This window comes from Homo sapiens, chromosome 17 (genome assembly GCF_000001405.40).
Source record: "Homo sapiens chromosome 17, GRCh38.p14 Primary Assembly".
Taxonomy (NCBI): Eukaryota; Metazoa; Chordata; class Mammalia; order Primates; family Hominidae; genus Homo; species Homo sapiens.
In genome coordinates, this window is record NC_000017.11 from 676,947 (window position 1) to 697,562 (window position 20,616).

At 43.0% G+C, this 20,616-nt stretch overlaps 1 protein-coding gene across 9 annotated transcripts in view; it reads right to left on the reverse strand.

The window, feature by feature from the left end:
- Positions 1 to 20,616, reverse strand: part of VPS53 (VPS53 subunit of GARP complex) — a 206,172-nt gene that overhangs the window by 168,279 nt on the left and 17,277 nt on the right. For 8 of the 9 annotated variants that reach the window (XM_047436345.1, XM_047436344.1, NM_001128159.3 and 5 more), the window contains exon 4: positions 20,472 to 20,538. In XM_047436345.1, the coding sequence (XP_047292301.1) occupies positions 20,472 to 20,538 (67 nt within the window). Of the gene's footprint in view, positions 1 to 18,131; positions 18,280 to 20,471; positions 20,539 to 20,616 lie in introns of all 9 variants that reach the window. The other variant, XM_047436346.1, reaches the window with a different exon arrangement.

The following is a 20,616-nucleotide window of genomic DNA, read 5'->3' on the forward strand; positions in this document are numbered from 1 at the left end:
GAAGACAAAACAGAACGCTTGTGTTAATGCACCTGAGTCTATGGAAAGAATGAATCTATGAAAGTTCAGAACAATATGGAAAAATGTTTCTAAAGAGATTAAATATTGCAATGATTAAAAATTACCATGTGACCCAGCAATTCCACTCCTAGGTACACAGCATAAGGGACGGAAGCAGAAACTCAAACAGGTATTTGTATGCCAATATTCATAGCATCACTGTTCACAAAAGCCAAATGGTGGAAACAATCCAAGTGTCCATGGACAGATGAATGGATACACACAATGTGGTGGAACTACACCACGGAATATTATTCACCCGTAAAAGAGAAGAAAGTGCTGATACATGCTACAACGTGGATGAATCCTGAAGACCACAGAAGTGAAATACACCAGATACAAAGGGTCAAATATTGTAGAATTCCACTTATATTAATATAAAGTTCCCAGAATAGGCAAATTCATAGAGACAGAAAGTAAAATAGAGGTTACAAGAAGTTGAGGAAAGTGGGCAGGGGAAGGAAGGACTTAATGGTTTTAATGTTTACAGAGTTTCTATTTGGGGTGATGAATAAATTTCAGAAATAGTGGTAGTGGTGGTTGTACATTATGAATGTAATTAATACCACTAATTATACACTTAAAAATGTTAAAATAATAAATTCTATATTATATACATATTTTACAAGGTTTAAAAAATAATGTAATATCAAAAACCACTGAACAGTATACTTTAAATAGATGAATTATATGTGAATTATAGCTCACTAATGCTGTTAAAATATAGCCATATAAAAAATTGAAAAAGGTTATATTTACTAAAATGAAATTTAATAAAATTTTTAAAAGCATCATCAATTACACCAAGCTACTTGCCAAGAAAAAAAACCAGGCCAGGTGTGGTGGCTCACACCTGTAATCCCAACATTTAAAAGGCTGAGGCAGGAGGTCGCTTGAACCCATGAGTTCAAGACCAGTCTGGGCAACACAGCAAAACCCGGATTCCACGAGAAATACAAAAAAAATTAGCCAGGCGTGGTGGCGAGTGCCTGTAGTCCCAGCTACTCAGGAGGCTGAGGTGGGAGGATTACTTGAGCCTGGGAGGTCGAGGCTGCAGTGAGCCATGATTTTATCACTGCACTGAAGCCGAGGTGACACAGCCAGACCCTGTCTCAAGAGAGAAAAAAAGCCAGGCCCGGTGGCTCACGCCTGAAGTCCCAGCACTTTGAGAGGTCAAATGAGGCAGGCGGACTGCCTGAGGTCAGGAGTTTCAGACTAGCCTGGCCAACATAGCAAAACCCTATCTCTACTAAAAATACAAAAAAATTAGCTGGACATGGTGGCGGGCACCTGTAGTCCCAGCTTCTTGGGAGGCTGAGGCAGGAGAATCGCTTGAACCCGGGAGGTGGAGACTGCAGTGAGCCAAGATCAAGCCACTGCACTCCAGACTGGGTGACAGAGTGAGACTCTGTCTCAAAATAACAAAAACAAAAAACCCATAAAAATAAAAACAATAAAAATTCTTTTTTATTTTTTTTGATACAGAGTCTCGCTCTGTCGCCTAGGCTGGAGTGCAGTGGCACGATCTCGGCTCACTACAACCTCTGCCTCCTGGGCTCCAGCGATTCTCCTGTCTCAGCTTCCCGGGTAGCTGGGATTACAGGCATGTGCCACCACTCCTGGCTAAATATATATATATATATATTTTTTTGAGACAGAGTCTCGCTCTGTCGCCCAGGTAGAGTGCAGTGGCATGATCTCGGCTCACTGCAAGCTCCACCCCCCGGGTTCACGCCATTCTCCTGCCTCAGCCTCCCAAGTAGCTGGGACTACAGGCGCCCGCCATCACGCCTGGCTAATTTTTTTGTATTTTTAGTAGAGACGGGGTTTCACCGTGTTAGCCAGGATGGTCTCGATCTCCTGACCTCGTGATCTGCCCGCCTCGGCCTCCCAAAGTGCCGGGATGACAGGCGTGAGCCACCGCGCCCCCGCCATTAAAAATTCATTTTTAACACTCAGGAGATGTGGCCAAAGTGGCATTCAGAGAAAAGCCGTACCTTTAAGCGCTCTTCTTACATAACAAGAAGTAGAAGGAGCATAAAGACAACAGAGATGAAAGCAGTAAAATATAAAGGTACAGAGTAATGAACTGAAACAGGAAAAGAGGAGAACTGACAAATATATCCAAGTGCAAGTCCTCTGAGAAGGCCTAAAGAAATTCTGGCTGTTTTAATCTAGGATTGGGGGTGTGGGAAAGAGAAAACATAAAATTAAGAATGAAAAGAGAGGCCAGATGCGGTGGCTCACACCTGTCATCCCAGCACATTGGGAGGCCGAGGCGCGCAGATCACGAGGTCAGGAGATTGAGACCATCCTGGCCAACACGGTGAAACCCCATCTCTACTAAAAATACAAAAATTAGCCAGGCGTGGTGGCGGCCACCTGTAGTCCCAGCTACTTGGGAGGCTGAGGCGGGAGAATCGCTTGAACCCAGGAGGCGGAGCTTGCAGTGAGCCGAGATTGCGCCACTGCACTCCAGCCTGAGCAACAGAGCAAGACTCCGTCTCAAAAAACCAAAACAAAACAAAAAGAATGGAAAGAGAATATAAACAGAGAATTGGAAAGGATGAATAAACTTAAACATCTGAGTAAAATTATTTTCAAGAACAAGGACTTACTAAAATCAACTCAAGAAGTGGAAGATGTAACTATAACCACAGAAATAACAGAAAAGGCTGCCAAGAAACCAATCTCCCAAAAGGCACTTGACCTTGATAATGGGTCAATTGTTTCAAAGACTTCAGGGACTTCAGGGTATATTATCTATAGTCTGACTCTCTGAAACAGTTTACTATTTAAATGGTCTCTGCGGTTGCAAAAAATGGGAAGCATCCCAGTTTGTTTTATAAAGCTGACAAAGGTCAGGCATGGTGGCTCACACCTGTAATCCCAGCACTTTGGGAGGCCGAGGCAGGTGGATCACCTGAGGTCAGGAGTTCGAGACCAGCCTGGCCAACATGGTGAAACCCCGTCTCTACTAAAAATACAAAAATTTAGCTGGGCATGGCTGGGCGCGGTGGCTCACGCCTGTAATCCCAGCACTTTGGGAGGCCGAAGTGGGTGAATCATTTCAGGTCAGGAGTTCAAGACCAATCTGGCCAACATGGTGAAACCCCATCTCTACTACAAATACAAAAATTAGCCGGTCATGGTAGCAGGCGTCTGTTATCCCAGCTACTCGGGAGGCTGAGGCAGGAGAATCGCTTGAACCCAGGAGGCAGAGGTTGCAGTGAGTCAAGATCGCACTACTGCACTCCAGCCTGGGTGACAAAGCGAGATTCCGTCTCAAAATAACAACAACAAAAACTGACATAAACCCGATACAAAATCTAACAATGATAACCAAAAAGAAGAAAATGTCAAACTAATTTCATTTTTTAACATGAATCAAAATCCCAGATAAAAATACTAGGATTCAACAATATATTTAAAAGACAATACACGATGACCCAGCAAGCATTTATGAAAGGTTAAATATTTTAAAAAGAAGGAAAAAAAAACTTAAACAAATCAACAACATGAAAAAACCCCTATGACTATATTCAGTACATGCTGAGAGGGCATATGATAAAATCCAACGTCTATTTTCTGGCAAAAGTGCTTAGTGACCAAGATTGTGAAGATCTCTCCTTAACAGTCAAAAGAATCGGGAAACAAGACAACATTACACTTGGTGTCAGCTCCGGGAGAGAAGTGTCTTTTGCTTTTTTCATTGTGTAATTCTCAATGCTTAAAATAGTGCCAACCACACAGAAGGCACTCACTAAATATGTACTGAGTGAGCAAATGAACAGATACACTATGTAAAGTGCCTGTCATTAAAATCAAGAACAAACTGCCTGCCATTCCCACTCTTAGCTGATCCTAAAGAGCATTTCTAAAACTTTTTGACCTCAGAATCTCTTTATACCCTTGGAAATTTATTGAAAGGGTTTATGTAGGTTATATCTACTGACATATACCAATGTTGGAGATTAAAACTGAGGAGTTTAAATAAAAAATATGTATCTGTTAATCCATTTAAACATGACAATGATAAATATATTACATGTTAGCATAAATTACATGTTTTTTGAAAAATAACTATATTTTCCCCCCAGACAAAACAAAGTTGTTTTTTTGTTTGTTTGTTTTTTGTTTTCTGTTTTGAGAGGGAATATTGCTCTGTTGCCCAGGCTGGAGTGCAGTGGTGCAATTTCGGCTCACCGCAACCTCAGCCTCCTGGGTTCAAGTTATTCTTCTGCCTCAGCCTCCCGAGTAGCTGGGCCTACAGGTGCATGCCACCACACTCAGCTAACTTTTGTATTTTTAGTAGAGACATGGTTTCACCATATTGGTCAGGGTGGTCTCGAACTCCTGACCTCGTGATCTGCCTGCCTCAGCCTCCCCAAGTGCTGGGATTCCAGGCGTGAGCCACTGCGCCCGGCCTACAAAACAAATTTCTTGAGAAGCGTGGCACTGCTGGGGTGTCTCTGCAAAAATCTTTAGTGTCTGCTCTGATAAACACCAGCTGGACTCCCATACACGCTTCCATATTGAATCTGTTGTGATCTGTTGTTCTGGTTGAAAATATGAAGAAAATCTGGCTTCACATAGATATATGTAGTTAGAAAAGGAAGAAATACTTTAATACCCAACTCTTTGTCTATTTAGGCTGCTATTAATATAACCAAATACTTTAAACTGGGTAATTTCTAAACAACAGAAATTGTTAACAGTCCTGGAAGCTGGAAAGTCCAAGATGGAGGCACCAGGAGATCTGGTGCCCAGTGAGGGCCCTTTCCTCACAGACGGCATCTTCTATGTGTCCTCACATGGGGAAAGGGGCAAATGGCCATCCTTCAAAAGTCTTTTATGAGGACACTGATCTCACAGATGAGGGCAGACCCCTTGTGACTCAGTCACCTCCCAAAGGCCCTGCTTTTAAATCCTGTCACAATAGGGATTAAGTTCCAGCATAGGAATCGTGGGAGATACCAACATTCCTGTGCTGTGACATGCTGTTTTGGTTGAAAATATGAAGAAAATCTGGCTTCACATAGATATATGTAATTAGAAAAGGAAGAAATATTTTAATACCCATTTCTTAGTCTATTCAGCTGCAATTCATAGAACAGAACACTTTAAACACAGCAGCCCTTTTCAGGTACTTGGTGATAAGCCTTTTTTAAACTACACTAAAACTCAAAAAGTGGTAGATTCTTGAGGATTAGCTGCAGTGTGGGATTTGAAATTGAATTAATGAACTTGCCATACTATATGCTGCATGAAACCCGCTGATCAGCTGTGCTTCTGCCGAGGATGCAGAAAGCAGAAAGAGTGCTGCTCTTACACTAACAAGGAGGAAAACGGAAACTGAAAACCACAACTTTTCTTGAACCTAGCAGAGAGCTAAAGGTAACCAAGCATCCTGAAATCCAAGAAGGAAGGTGCTCCCCCAGGAAAGACAGGACAGGAGAACCGTCTCCATGTAGAAGGGCATGTAAGGAAGACGGGGGTGCCACACAAGCAGGCGAGAGGGCTGAAGGAAAGTTTTTAACAAGTTACTAAAGGCCAAGTGTGGGCTGGCGCAATGGTAGGGAGGCCTGGAAAGTGTAAGCACAGGTGGGTTTGCACCCACTCTCAGGCTCTTTTCCAAGACCTTCACTGGGTGTTCATGAGGAAAAAATGGGGGCACTCTCTCCTCTTCTACACAAAATGCCTGGCATTCAATAAAAAATTTTAAGACATATATACGCCAAAAAAGAAAAAAAAGAAGAAAGGGAAGAAAGGAAAAGCACCCATTGTTAAGAGACAAAGCAACCAACAGAACCTGTCTCAAAGAGGAGCCATTTGGTATAAATATTAGATAGGCTACAGAGGAGGGGATTTTAAAATAACAATGAATAATATGCTAAAGAATCTGGTAGAAAAGGTGTTTTACCTGCACGAACAGATGAAGAATTGCAGCAGAGAGCAGGAAATTATAAGAGTCAAATGGAAATGCTAGAAAAAAGGACATGGTGTCAGAGCTGAAGAATTCCTTCAACAGCCTCATCACACTCGACACAGCAAAAAAAGGATTGGTGAACTTTAAGGTGGGTCAATAGAAAGTACCCAAACTGAAACACAAAGAGGAAAAAAGAAAAGAAAATCCAACACCTGCAGGACAGTATTAAATGTTCTAAAACACATGTAAGTAGAATTCTAGGAGGAAGAGAGAACACAACAGAAACATTTGAAGAGATAATGGCTGAGAATTTTTTTTTAAGTGAAAGGCATTAAACCACTGATCCAAGAAGTGCTGAGATCCCAAGAGGAATAAGGGTTGACTTCTCAGAAACAATGCAAGCTAGAAGACAAAGACTGACATTTTTAAAGTACTAAAAAAAAATAAAACAACAAAACTGCCAACCTAGAGTCCTAAACCAAGCAAAAATATTTTTAAAAAATAAAAGCAAAATTAAAACTTTTCAAGCAAAGAAAAGCTGAGAGCATTTCTTGCCAGCAGACCGTGTTATAAGAAACACTAAAGGAAGTTCATGAGGCAGAACAAATATGGTACAGAAAAAACTCAGATCTAAGGAGATAAAAATGAGATCTATGTGAGGTGACAAATGCCTTCATTTGCTTCTCTGCAGGCTATTTTACTGTCTTTATGTATCCTATAACATGTTATACACCTTACATATACACAATACAATTTACTTCTTCAAACATAAAATAAAATAGCTGGGTGTGGTGGCACACGCCAATAGCCTCCGGCTACTCAGGAGGCTGAGGCAGGAAGATCACTTGAGCCAAGGAGTTTGAGGCCAGCTCAGGCAACATAGCAAGACCCCATCTCTAAAAATATAAAATAAATGTAGAAACTTGAAAACTGACAAACAATAAAAATATTTTTAAAATTTATTTTTAATTACTCTAATTAGCAAAAATAGCAACAGTGATGGTGTTCATAATACGTAAAAACAAGATGTGGGGCAGAGTGGAATGCAGAGAGGATGTGAGGAAGAGGTCAGAAGCCTGCTATGAAAAGACTCTCACATTACATGTGAAGTGATACAATGTCATCACTGTGACATCAGTGACAATATGACTGTGATAAAGATGCATATTGTGGACCCAGGACAAGGAAGTACAAGAACAAACAGAAAACAAGCAAGATGCTAGATTTAAATCCAACTATATCATGGGAACAAAGCAAACTATTCACTTTCACCAGTTTTATTCCATATCACACTGTAGGTCCTAGCCAGAGTAATAAGGCAAAAAATATTTTATTCATAGGTGAGATGATTATCTACTTTTTAAAAATCCCAAAAGCCTACAAAAAAAAAATTCCTGAAACTAATAAGTGAGTTCAGCAAAGCTGCACAATATAAGGTCAATAAATAAAAATCAATTACATTTCCACAACTAGCAAGAGACAACTGGAAATTTAAATTTTAAGAGATACCATTTATAATCATACCAAAAACCACAAAATATTTAGTATAAATCTAGCAAACTATGAGCAAGATCTATATACTAAAAACTAAAACACACTGTTGAGAGAAACTAAAGACCTAAATATATGAAGAAATATTCCATGTTCATAGATTGGAAGATTTAATATTGTAAAGATGTCAATTCTCCTTCAATTGATCTATAGACTCAACGCAATCCCAATCAAAGTCCCAGAGATTTCCTTTTTTTCTTTTCTTAAATCAACAAGTTGGCCGGGCGCGGTGGCTCACACCTGTAATCCCAGCATTTTGGGAGGCCGAGGCGAGTGAATCACCGAGGTCAGGAGTTCGAGACCAGCCTGGCCAACATAATTAAACCCCGTCCCTACTAAAGAATACAAAAAATTAGCCAGGCATGGTGGCTCACGCCTGTAATCCCAGCGACTCGAGAGATTGAGGCAGGAGAATCACTTGAACCTAGGAGGCGGAGGTTGCCGTGGGCCGAGATCGCGCCACTGCACTCCAGCCTGGGCAACAAGAGCTAGATTCTGTTTCCAAAAAAAGGAAAAAAAAAGACTAATAAAGGAAAACAGATCCCAATACCTGTAAAAGTCCTGATGATCTTGGCGTAAAAACTGCCTTGCTTTAGAGATGCAATGAGAGACAGAGAAAACAAAAAGACAGATGTACTCAACACAAACAGCTGGAGTGGAGAAAGCGGGCAGCTTTGAGTCTGAGAGCCAGGAAGGGAAGACTGCAGTTCCAAGAGCCTGGGTCTGGAAACCGGTGTTGAACAGGCAGCAAAGGCTCCCTGCAGTGACCCAGGTGTCAGTTCCTTCTGTTCATTACAATACGGCATCCAAAAATACTTTTCTTCTAAAATAATATACCAACGGCCCTCAACTTGGGATGGTTCAACACAGAATTTTCTTACTACACGATGGTGCAAAGGTGAGAAACATTCTGTAGAAACCATACTTTGGGTACCCATACAACCACTCTGTTTTTCACTTTCTGTACAGTATTCAACAGATCACATGAGCTATTCAACACTTTAGTATAAAATAGGCTCGGTGTTAGATGATTTGCCTGACTGTAGCCTAATGTAAGTGTTCTGAGCAAATAAATTTAAGGCACGGTAGGCTAAGCTATGATGTTCAGTAAATTACATGTATTAATAAATTTTCAACTTAGGATATTTTCAACTTACGATGGGTTTATCAGAATAAGAACTTATTCTTCATTGCAAGTTAAGAAGCATGTGTATGATTGAGAAAAATCTGGAAACAGGTGTGGTGGCTTGCACCTGTAATTCCAGCCACTCAGGAGGCTGAGGCAGGAAGATCGCTTGAGGTAAGGAGTCCAAGACCAGCCAGAGCAATAAAGGAACACCCCATCACTACAAAAAAAAACTTTTTAAATTAAAAAATTAGCCAGACATGGTGACATGCACTTGTAGTCCTACCTACTTGGAAGTCTGAGGTGGGAGGATCGTTTGAGGCCAGGAGTTTGAGACAGTGAGCTATGCACGCCACACTCCAGCCTGGATGACCCTGGAGCGAGACCCTGTCTCTAAAAAAAAAAACAGAGAGAGAAGAGAATTGGCTGGTTGCAGTGGCTCATGCCTGTAATTCCAGCACTCTGGGAAGCGTAGGTGGGAGGATCACCTGAAGCCAGGAGTTCTAAACCAGCCTGGGCAACACAGTGAGATTCCATCTCTACAAAAAGTGTTTTAAAACAGTCAGGCATAGTGGTGTGCACCTGTAGTCCTAGCTACTTGGGAGGCTGAGGTGGAAGGATCACGTGAGCCCAGGAGTTCAAGGCTAGAGTGAGCTACGATCCTGCCATTACATTCCAGCCTGAATGACAGAGTGAGACCCTGTCTCTAAGAAGAAAAAAAAGAAGAATTTGGAAGTTATAAAAACTAGAAATGAAAAAAAATCTATCTGCAGTCTCAAATTTCAAAAACAATACAAATAATAAATTCTGTTGTCAAGTGGAATGTTTATTTTAACTATAGGGTGATATTGCATGTCACGCCAGGCAAACATCTAATGGAGGTCTTGAAGACAGGACAAGAGAAATGAACCTTTGACCACCACTGTTGCCACAGCAGATATTCTGGACCATAGGTAAGCTGTGCCGCCATTTTTATTCACAGAGAACAGCACGCTGAAGGCAGTAAGGGGCCTGGGATAATTCAGAACAAGTAAACCTGGAGTTGCTTTAAAGCACAGCAGTGGGGCTGGAGAGGAGCTGATGGAGCTGACGGAAAAGCCACAGGAACTCGACAAATACCTGGATGCACGGAACTAGGAAAACTGAAATTCCAGTGGACTGTGTATCAGCAGCACTGGTGTTCCTGCCATTTACTAAACATGAGTGAGCCCAACATTGTGCAAAAAAGGTGTTTTAAAATACATTTATTCTAGGCCAGATGTGGTGGCTCATGCCTGTAATCCCAGCACTTTAGGAGGCTGAGGCAGAAGGATTGCTTGAGGCCAGGAGTTTGAGACTAGCCTGGGCAACATAGCGAGACCTCATCTACACAATACTTAAAAATTACATTAGCTGGGCGCAGTGGCTCACGCCTGTAATCCCAGCACTTTGAGAGGCCAAGGTGGGCAGATCACCTGAGATCAGAAGTTCAAGACCAGCCTGGCCAACATGGTGAAACCCTGTCTCTACCAAAAATATAAAAACTAGCCAGGCGTGGTGGTGGTCGCCTGTAATCTCAGCTACTTGGGAGGCTGAGGCAGGGAGAATCACTTGAACCCAGGAGACGGAGGTTGCAGTGAGCAGAGATCGTAACACGGCACTCCAGCCTGGGTGACACAGCAAGACTCCAGCTCAAAAAAAAAAAGCCAGGTGCGGTGGCTCATACCTGTAATCCCAGCACTTTGGGAGGCTGAGGCACGCAGATCATGAGGTCAGAAGATCGAGACCATCCTGGCCAACATGGGGAAACCCCATCTCCACTAAAATACAGAAAATTAGCCGGGCGTGGTGGCACATGCCTGTAGTCCCAGCTACTCAGGAGGCTGAGGCAGGGGAATTGCTTGAACCCAGGAGGCAGAAGCTGCAGTGAGCCAAGATCGCACCAATGCACTCCAGCCTGGAGAGAGAGCAAGACTCAGTCTCAAAAAAAAAAAAAAAAAGATGCGCATGGTGGCATGTGCCTGTGGTCCCAGCTACTCGGGACGCTGAAGTGAGAGGATCACTTGAGCCCACGAGGTTGAGGGCGCAGCGAGCTGTGATTGCACCACTCCACTCTAGCCTGGGCAACAAAGTAAGACCCTGTCTCAAAAACAAATAAATAAATAAGTGGATAAATAAAATAAAGTATATTAATTCTAATCCCCCCTAACCCTGAGGTACGTATTATTATCTCCATGTCACAGATGGAAAGTTAAATATCTTGTCCAAGGTCACACAGATAACAGCAGAGACAAAATTTAAATTCAAAGCTCAAGTTTTTTTCACTTTACCAAGATGCCATCCAATGTTACATCACTGAAGATATCTAACTACACCAATCCTTAGAGAATTGAAATAAAATGCCCAGTCCTTCACTGTACATAGAGGAGAGAAGATAGCTATTTGGATTCCTTATAGCTTTTCTAAAAATGAGGGATTTTAGAGGATACGTGGCAAAGTGTTCCAAATATGCCGCAGACATGTCTCCCTGCCAAAAAAGCGCTATCAAGGTGATATGATTTGGCTGTGTCCCCACCCAAATCCCTACATGTCATAGGAGGGACCTGGTGGGAAGTCACTGAACCACGGGGTGGTTTCTCCCATTCTATTCACGTGATAGTAAGTTCTCACAAGATCTGATGGTTTTGTAAGAGGCTTCCCCCTTCGCTCAGCTCTCATTCTTCCTCTCTCCTGCCACCTTGTGAAGAAGGATGGGTTTGCTTCCCTTTCCACCATGATTGTAAGTTTCCTGAGGCATCCCCAGCCCTGCAGAAATGTGAGTCAATTAAACCTCTTTCCTTTATAAATTACCCCGTCTAAGGTATTTCTTCATAGCAGTGTGAGAACGGACTAATACACAAGGCTTGTGTGCAATAAACAGGATGAAGAATGGTAGTGAGGCCAAACCCAGTTGCACTACATTGTTAAACAGTTAACGGACATTTTATGAGTCCCCGCCTCAACTACAACCAGTAGCACTCTAGAAGCAGGCAAAATGAACAGTCGCCCGCCCCGCCTCAACTACAACCAGTAGCACTCTAGAAGCAGGCAAAATGAACAGTCACCGGATTCAACTTGACAAAGGCAAGCCAACCTTGACCTCTGCACTAGACGTAAGAAATCCTGGTTGGGAAATGACTGTGAGCCCGAATCAAAACTCTGCCCCTACAAAAGGCTGATCTAACAACCCGACTCCAGGGCTGCCCCACAGATCACGGTGTTCAGGGCACTCCCAGGTCATGTCCAAACCTCAGCAATTCCTGAAGTTTAGTGTTATTTGCAGACATGCTGAAAAGTACAACGCAAAAAATAATAACAGAAAAGAAACAAAAAATGTCCAGCCAATCTTGGCCACTAATGGGAAACTTCGAGGCCATACTCTAAAAGCTCAGTCGCTTTAGCTGTGGTATGTTTTAGTAGGAAGAAGCAAGTAGCAATTGCCATTTTTTTCCAAACTATTTGTGGTCCCTTTAATACTAATACCAATTACTTTCTTCAATTTTTATCAATCAATGGGCTTCATTTTCCTCCCAAGAGAGGATGAGAGAAAGGATCAATTTAAAGTGAGGGAGGATAAGAATATAAAGTCTCCTTCTAGTGAGCTGACAATGACAAATTCAAAATCCCACATAATGAAGATCAATGCCATGCTGGGAAGTCAGTCTTGGAGAGCAGTTATTTTTGTTCTTTTCACTTGAGACAGGGTCCCCAGGCTGCAGTGTAGAGGTGCCATCATAGACTGCTGTAACCTCAAACCCCTGGGCTCACGCAATCCTCCTACCTCAAACTCCTGAGTAGCCAAGACTATAGGTTTGTGCCACCATGCTGGACTAATTTTTTTTTTTTTTTTTTTTTTTTTTTGAGATGGAGTCTCACTCTGTCACCAAGGCTGGAGTGCAGTGGCACCATCTCAGCTCACTGCAACCTCCACTTCCTAGGTTCAAGTGATTCTCCAGCCTCAGCCTCGTGAGTAGCTGGGACTACAGGCACGCACCACTGCATCTGGCTAATTTTTGTATTTTTAGTAAAGCCCAGGTTTCCCCATGTTGGCCAGGCTGGTCTTAAACTCCTGATCTCAGGCGATCCGCCCACCTCCGCCTCCCAAAGTGTTGGGATTACAGGCGTAAGCTACCAAGCCCGGCCTATTTTCGTTCTAATGCTTGAATTGCATAATATGCTAATTTTGAGGAAGAAAAGCAAGGAACACTTTCTCCTTGGAAGGCAATGTACTTTGCTGCTTTAGTTCATAATCTTTATGATATCTCTATGTAAAAGTGAAGAAGGCAAGTATTAACAGCCTCCTTTTTTGGTGAAAATCAAGACATGGGAAGATGAAGAAACAGCCCCGGACGACACACACAGACAGGTAGAAATCCTGTTTTTTGGGTCTGGCACTTTGCGCTGAAGTGAGGAGGAAGAACAGGAAGCCTCTGACGGCACGTCACACGGCTCTGAATCCACTCCATTCTGCCTTTTCATCTACAACTTGAATGAAGACACAGAAGGCATGTCTGGCAAATCTGCTAATGATAAAGTGGGGAGGTCATCAAGGCTCCCAAAGATCTTGATGGGATAAACAATCGAGCAGAACTAGTGGGATGAAACGAAAGCTGAGACACACACGGTCTGACAATTTCAAAGACTCTCTTGCACAAACAGAGGTGGAGAAAGTTTAAATGAAAGTCATATGAAGAAAGACCTGGGACAGTACTGGCCCACAGATGTGTTTTGTTTGCCCTTTGCAGTGTTTGTGAAAAACACTAAGCCAATAGTTAAAAATTGTGAGAGTTACATGAAAATCCGGATTTCCGGCTGCTCTTGAAAAACTGATAGATCTGGCAATTCCAGGTCTGCGTTCAGACGTGACAACAGCTGATTAGAATTCACTTGTGACTATCCCCTTAGGACCTGGTGGATGCATGTGGACACACACCAGCCTGCTTACGCCGCTTAGGTTACTTTCCCAGCTCTGCGGACATCTGTTTGCGACTCTTGACCTGGGGGTTTCAGGTGACTGCCAACTCAGTAGAAGCCAACCATGTAATACGGCTGCCAAAAATCTCAGCAAATCCAAGGTAATGGAAGAATAGTGTCTAAAATAAAAAATCTCAGCAAATCCAAGGTAATGGAAGAACAATGTCTACAATCAAAAATCTCAGCAAATCCAAGGTAATGGAAGAACAGTGTCTAAAATCGGTGGCCCTTAAGTTTTGAAGAGTCACAGACTCCTTAGAAAATCTAGAAAAATCAATAAGTTTTCCTCCCATAAATATGTCTAGACATACAAAAATTTACAGTTAATTTCAGGGACTTGACAGACACTCTGGACCCCCAGTCCCTAAGTTAATGAGCTCGGCCCAGAACAAAGAGGTCAACTGTCTCAGTGTATATGTTGACACAGCATGTCCACTCCTGGGAACCACATTTTAAGAGGGATGCTGACAAACAGCTATCAAGAGCAAGGATGATAAAGGGTCTGGAAATTGCATTATAAAGATGAAGAAACTAAGAATGGTTAGCCTAGAAAAGGGAACACTTAGGAACATAATATCCATTTTCAATTTCAGAAGCTGTAGTAAGGAAAAGGGATTAGGCTTACACCCATCCAGCTGGCAGAACTAAGATCAACAAGAAGTTACAATGAAGTCTATTTCACTGTTTCAGTTCAGTCTAAGAAAGGAGTTTCTCACAACTAAAGCTATAAAACTGAACTAGTCTGTCCTGTGGACCAACAAAGTAGCAAGCTCCCCATCACTGAAAGTAGCCAAGCTTCTGCAAGATAATGAAACGTCAGAGATGTAATACAAAGGACTCCTGAACTGGGTGGAAGATTGTACTACAATTACCTAATCCTTCTTCCAAAGCGAAGGAGTGAGCAATACAGCACCCCCTCCTTATCAGCAGTTCACTTTCTGAGGTTTTAGCCACCTGTAGTTGACTGTGGTCCAAAAATATTACATGGAAAATTCCAGAAACAGACAATTAGTAAATTTTAAATTATGCGCCATTCTGAGTAGTGTGATAAAATCTTGCACCACCCAATTCTGTCCTGACCAGGTCACGAATCATTCCTTCACCCAGTATATCCATGCTGAATACAGCACCTATTAGTCACTTAGCAGCCATCTCGGCTATTACATACAGCTCCAAATCACAAGAGGAGTGATGCTGGCATACTGTCATAATTGTGCTATTTTATTTTTAGTTATTGTGGTGAATCTCTTACTGTGCCTAATTTGCATGCTAAAGTTTATCACAGGTATGTATACATAGGAAAAAATACGGCATATATAGGGTTTGCTACTCTCTGGGTTTCAGGCATCCACTGGGGGTCTTGGAATGTATCCCCCACAGGTAAGTGGGGACGACTTGTAATAATTCTCTTCTCCTCCCAAACCTTACTCTTGTTCTGATCAAAGAAATGGCTACATTGCAGCCAGGCTCCATTGAAGAGACAGAAACTCGGTGGCTGATCCTCTCCTGTGAGTCTGAGAGCTTACTGACGACCGGTCAACGTTGGCCACTCTTGAAACTTCCCACTGCCGGCTTTTTCTTCCTCTAACCCGCCCCTCTATTCACCTCTCTTTCACCTACGTTCAAGCCATCCATTTTAATTCTTGGGAAGCTGCAAAAATTTCATAGCATACCACATCATGTACTTGTTGAATTGACTCATCCACAAAGTTTTAAACGTGGGCATTTAATTAAAGCTTTTGACTGATGATTTCAACAGATAAAAATGGGGAGGATTCCGTGCCATATAAACTTTATAAGAGCATCATCGTCTGGTTAGAAGAGGTCACAGACTAGACCAGTTCAAGCTGGCCCACATAGAAGGTGGTCAAAAAACAAAGACTCTGCAAACGTTTAGCAGAATGTTAACCAAGCGGCTGGTATTTCAGAAACTTCAAGAAGCTCAAGAAATGACCTAATTATGCCTTCAATATTTAAATCATTCCTTACCCCCAAATAATTTTTGAGTCAAAAACATTGCTTTTCAAAAGCAACTTTTCTGCTAAAAATGTCATTTAAGACACCATGAATGTGAAGTCAACACTTTCCCCTTATTTACAGATATAGAAGCACACCTAGCCGGGTGCGGTGGCTCACGCCTGTCATCCCAGCACTTTGGGAGGCCGAGGCGGGCGGACCACAAGGTCAGGAGTTTGAGACCAGCCTGACCAACATGGTGAAACCCTGTCTCTACTAAAAATACAAAAATGAGCTGGGCATGGTGGTGCGCACCTGTAATCCCAGCACTTTGGGAGGCCGAGGCGGGCGGACCATGAAGTCAGGAGTTTGAGACCAGCCTGACCAACATGGTGAAATCCCGTCTCTACTAAAAATACAAAAATTAGCCAGGCGTGGTGGTGCATGCCTGTAATCCCAGCTACTCAGGAGGCTGAGGCAGGAGAGTCGCTTGAACCCAGGAGGCAGAAGTTGCAGTAAGCCGAGATCACACCACTGCACTGCAGCCTGGCTGACAGCGAGACTCTGACTCAAAAACAAAACAAAAAACAAAGAAGCAAGAAGCACATCTAGGCTGGGTATAGCCTAGCAGCCATCTCGGCTATTACATACAGCTCCAAATCACAAGAGGAGTGATGCTGGCATACTGTCATAATTGTGCTATTTTATTTTCAGTTATTGTGGTGAATCTCTTACTGTGCCTAATTTGCATGCTAAAATTTATCACAGGTATGTATACATAGGAAAAAATATGGCATATATAGGGTTTGCTACTCTCTGGGTTTCAGGCATCCACTGGGGGTCTTGGAATGTATCCCCCACAGGTAAGTGGGGACGACTTGTAATAATAAGTGTCTCATGCCTATAATCTCAGCATTTTGGGAGCCCAAGGCAGGAGGATCACTTCAGGCCAGGAGTTCAAGACCAGCCCGGGCAACACAGCAAGAACCCATCTCTACCAAAAATAAAAAATTAAAAATTAAAAATAGCTGTGTGTGGTGGCACATGCCTGTAGTCCTAGCTACTTCGGAGGCTAAGGTGGGAGGATCACTTGGCCCCAGGAGTTCAAGGTTACCGTGAAAAATGATTGCACTCCAGCCTGAGCAACAAGGCAGGACCCTGTCCCTAACATGATAATAATAAATACAAATTTAAAAGCGGCACATCGGTTCTGGTTAAACACAATCAAGATTAAATTTATAAAACGAAAACCTCCTTTTGTCCATATGCCACTCCCTTCTGAGTGTTCTTCAGAAGCTTAGGAAGCGAGTGCTGAAAGCAAACTTCTCTTCTCTTCCAGGGAAGAGGGGAACGTGGGGCCTCTTGACCTACAAAACTCAGTATTTTGGAACATCCGTAATTCCACCAAGTCTGTTGCAGTCAAATAGACTCCTTTTAGCAAACCAGCCAGCCAGGGCTGGAGAGCAAGGCTTTCATACCTAGGAGTTGACAAGGACAGGACCCAAGAGCTCCTTGGAAAAAAAAAAGCTTGTACTTCAGTTTGCATTACAAAGTGCTGGAAAAGACAGATGGGGCCATGACAGGAAAAGCAGTTATTTCTTCTGGGCTTCCTTTCTGTCTGGATTCTAAGGAGACGAATACAAAGTTCCATCACAGATTGAAATGCTATCTAAACATTCTTGAAAATGTGGTCTTGCTCTGTGAAATACGACCTGCTCTGCTGCGGCAACCTGTAACCTATTAATACGGGATGGGGGAGAACGCCGACATTCCTGCAGACTGTCGAATTCTGGGTCTGACTCTGTAATACCGCTAGTTTGCAAGAGTCCAGAACCACAGGTTGAAACGTAAATAACTGAAAGATACACATCTATTATGCACAGCATGACCCAACAAAAAATGCCGATGAATCACTCACTATTTTCACATTCTTGAAATTTTAAACATCTATGACTCCTGCACTGTAAGACTTCTAGTGAGCCATTCCAAATGTAGGCTGAATCACACTGAACAAGCAGTGTTACTATTCCCAGTAGCAGCAAGTTGGGACTCTTAATGCACAAAGCAAGTTCTAAATCACTTTTAAGGAACACCCACTTGCTGATCAAAATGATGTTTTTATGATAAAATGTTTTTGTTTATTTATAATTAATAAACAATCTTAGACAGACAAAATATTCAATACAGTTGCATAAAATGTTGTGGGGGTTTTGCTGTTGCTTTTGGGGATGGGGTCTCGCTCTGTCATCCGGGCTGGAGCGCGGCGGCACCATTACAGCTCACTGAAGCTTGTACTACCACACCCAGCTAATTATTTTACCTTTTCGTAGAGACGTGTATTGCTATGTTGCCGAGGCTGGTCTCAAACTCCTGGCCTCAAGTCATCCTCCCACCTAGGCATCCCAAAGTGTTGAGATTACAGGCATGAGCCATTGTGCCTGGCTCAGTTGAATAAAATGTTATTGCATGTGGCCTATGTGTAGTGAAATAGAAAGATGACAAAGATACAGTTCTTACCTTCCAGGAGCTTACAAACATCAAAGGGATGAGACTTGTTCTCTGGTAAGTCAAGGGAGACCCCAAAAGCCAAATGAAAAGTACAAGAATGGGGCTGTGGGATTTATGGAGAAAGGACATCGAGGGACACTGGAATCCATTTTCTCCTCTGTAAAATGAGGGGAGGGGCCCAGATGAGTTTCAAATCCTTTCCAGTTCAAAATTCTGATTCCTTGGTGTATTCAGATAAGGTCCATGGAAAACATCGTCAAGAAACTAGTATCTGAGCTGGTCCTTGGATGGGTAAGATTGGGAAATGCGGCGGCTTAAAGAAATAGGAGGAAAAGCATTTCAAGCACAAAAGAGTCTGTAAGCACAGGTCCAGAAAGCACAGGCATGCTCGTAGAGCACAAAGTCTTCAGTGTAGACAGAACACAAGAGGAGGCAAAACTGGAATTGGAGACCAGAATTTTGAATGCCAAGCAAAGGAATTTGGATTTCTTTTTTTTTTTAAACAGGGTCTCACTCTGTTTCCCAGGCTGGAGTGCAGTGGCGCGATGATGGCTTACTGCAGCCTCGAACTTCCTGGCTCAGCTGATCTTCCTGTCTCGGCCTCCTCAGTAGCTGGGACTACAGGCACAGGCCACCACCATGCCCAGCTAATTTTGTACTTTTTGAAGATGCAGGGTTTTGTCATGTTGCCCAGGCTGGCCTTGAACTCCTAGGCTCAAGTGATCTCCCCGCCTCGGCCTCCCAAAGTGTTGGGATTGCAGGTGTGGGCCACCATGCCTGGCCTTGGATTTCATTTAGTGGCCAGAGCTGATACGGTGTCTGAAGAGGTAGACAATACGATCAAACACAGATTAGGACAGCTAAGCAGCAGAATGCAGCTGGAGTGCTTGAGGCTGCCCTGTCCCTCTGTAGGACCCCTCTGAAGGTCCCATTTACATGGGCCTCATCTGCCAAAGAAGCCATGCTTCATGAAATATACCTCAACAGACAAAACGAGGTAACGAGGGCTAAAAAAAATACAGGAGTCCAGAAAACCAGAACAGTTTTAGGAACCTAATGTGTCTACACACAAATTCTGATGATGACAAGAAGGCCAGCTACTCACAAACAGGCCAAAGGAAACTGGCTATCAAATGGAAAGTGACTATAAAGTGGAAAAATGGAAAAAGAAAGTGATATAAAGTAGTAAAAATAGACAGATGGGAAAACTACAGATGTAAAAGAAAGAGACTCCTAATATCTGTAAGCAACTGGCAGAAGGAAACAGAAATATCAGAGATCTGGAAATTTCAGCGTAGGATTATATGCTCCTCCCACTCCAAATCTGGGCAGCAGGATGAACATTTTTAGAAATTAGCTGTCCTAAAAAATGTCAAAGAGGAGAAATCACAGCATTGAAGCAATTGCAAAGAAGCAGTCCTGACCTGAGTTAGTGCTGATAAGGGAGGACAGGACATGGCAAGAGAGGACGGCTAGAAAGGCAAGCTCAGCATTTCTACTACAACAGCCATTCTGAAATACGATGCCTCAACAGAAGAACAGAATCAAATAAAAAGGGAAATGGTTCACAGATAACATCTGGCCCCTCAATTATTAAAGAGTATCTCCTCCCTACACACTTTTCCCTTCATTGCCTCCAACAGCCTCCTTAACTAGATCCAGTAAGACTTACTTCATTCCCTCCAATGGCCTCCTTAACTAGATCCAATAAGACTTATAAAACTTTTTTTTTTTTTTTTTTTTGAGACAGTCTCACCCCTGTCGTCCATGCTGGAGTGCAGCGGTGCAATCTCGCCTCACTGCAACCTCTGGCTCCTGGGTTCAAGTGACTCTCATGCCTCAGCCTCCTGAGTAGCTGGGATTACAGGCGTGAGCCGCTGTGCCCGCTGTGCCCGGCCAACTTGTAAAATTTTTTAATGAATCTTGAGTCACCTGCCTGCTGGCAAAGCGAGGTACGAGGAAATGGTAACTATGTCAGGTTACTATCTTTTACAGCCACAAAATATCAAAACCCCAACAACTCAGCTGACGAATGCAGCAACCTCATTTAGCCACAGCCCACAAAATAAAAGAGGGCACAAGAGATGCCCGACACGAAGGAGAAAGACAAGGAAGCCCCAGTGTTCTCATCTGGCCTCGGGTGAGCGGTGCCACAGTTCACGGTCCTGGTCCAAGGGACACTGAGGGACAGCACGTGGCTGCTGTGGGCGCCTGCCCTGTCTTGTCCTGCCATGTATGAAACGGATCAATCGGAAAGTGCTCTGCAAGAGGGCACATCGACGTTTTGGTCATCTGGTTGCCGGGAGAAACCAGGGGAGCATAGGTAATATGGAGGAATGAGTTACTTACTTGCCGTCCATCCTGCCCCACGTTCGTCTGACCTCTTACAACAGTTCGAATATTGTCATCCAGTCTCCTAGCAAAACAGTTCAAGGATACAGTCATTCAAATAATCTTTATTCTAGGTTGACCAAAAGAAAAAAAGTAAAAAGTA